This window comes from Homo sapiens, chromosome 9 (assembly GCF_000001405.40).
Source record: "Homo sapiens chromosome 9, GRCh38.p14 Primary Assembly".
NCBI lineage: Eukaryota > Metazoa > Chordata > Mammalia > Primates > Hominidae > Homo > Homo sapiens.
This window is the reverse complement of record NC_000009.12, coordinates 30,573,807-30,575,160: the sequence shown is the minus strand read 5'-3', so window position 1 is coordinate 30,575,160 and position 1,354 is coordinate 30,573,807. Positions and strand designations below refer to the sequence as shown.

At 48.5% G+C, this 1,354-nt stretch overlaps 1 annotated feature.

Annotated features, from left to right (window-relative positions):
- Positions 558-1,133: an enhancer, noted in NCBI's record as "H3K27ac-H3K4me1 hESC enhancer chr9:30574026-30574601 (GRCh37/hg19 assembly coordinates)". NCBI's record gives its function as "activates a minimal SCP1, AML or CMV promoter by ChIP-STARR-seq in primed H9 embryonic stem cells {active_cell/tissue: H9 hESC(primed)}" and the evidence as "EXISTENCE:reporter gene assay evidence [ECO:0000049][PMID:30033119]".

Here is a 1,354-nt window from a genome sequence, read left to right as displayed (position 1 = left end):
GCAGGCAGGTCGTCCCAGTGAGTCTGACTGAAACTAGACTCAGAATGGAGGAAGTGAATGCTGATTGGTCTATGGGCAGCCATGGGCGGGCCTGGAAAAAGCACCATCCGGGTAGCGGACTCCACCCGGAACTGGTAGCGTGGCCCCTAGCCTTTGGGTCATCCCTGGCTTGAAGGTGGGGTTTCACTGGGGACCCAGCTCTTCCCGCCCGGAAACCTCTTAGCCTCCCACCGCCATCAATATACCGGCTGCGGTGCCCAGGCTGTCCACGCTAAGGGGTGCCCACAGGCCCATGCCGAGCCACCCTCAGCCCCGCAGCCTCCCTCACGTTCTCGTTAGTGCCCAGAGTCTGGAGGGGGCTGAGGCGGCTGGAGGCTGGTGTGTCAGCAGCCCTATATCACGCACATGTCTGTCTGGGTCGCAACAGTTCCCCGGGCTCAGCCACAACTTTGCTTCACACCAAAGCAAGCCCTGGGAGCAGGGAGAGGCCAGGGAACATGAGCAAGCACTTCCTAGCCTGCAAGGTCAGGGTGTTTCCCAGGCCCCCAAGAGCACAGGGCTGCCCAGGTCCAGAGCCACAGCTGGGCCGCTGCAACTGCACCTGGGAGCATGGTGGGAGCATGGTGCTCGCGTCCCGCCAGCTCTGTAAGGTGCAGGGTTCTTGCCTGTTTCTGGCCCCGGCTGGTTCTGTGAAGCATGCAGGCCGGACTGCACCTCCCCCACTGCAGCTGGCGCTCTCGCAGTGGCCACTCCAGAGGGGGCACCACTGCCATCAAAAGTAAGTACAATTTGAGAGTTTTGTGATGCTAAATAAACTGAAACATGCCATGTTTTTGGATATATTGTCCTTGAAAACAGGCTGAGTGTTATTAAGTACAATTATAACAAGATATAATAGCACAGCCACTGTGCAAAATTCAGAAAAAATAAAATGTATATTATATGAATATATTTGGTTTATATATAATATATATGCGTGTTTGTGTGTATATATATACTTTTTTCAAAACCCAGTTGTATTACCCAATTAAATTATGATTTAAGACCGTCAATGGAAAGAGAAAAAATTAAAATAACAACGTTTACAATAGTATCAAAATGTATAGTACTTAGGGATAATTCTGAAAACAACAGGAAACATCTGTACCCTTGAAACTATAAAATATTGCTGAGATAAATAAAGACCTAAATAAATGGAATGGAATTTCTAAGCTGTAAATCTCAATACTGTTAAGATGTTTACTCCGCCCACATCGATCACCCCAATCAAATCCTAGCTGGATTTCTTCTTTTAGAAATTATGTAGCTGAAATTCTGAAATTTCCTTAGATGGTCAAAGGACCTAGAATGGCAA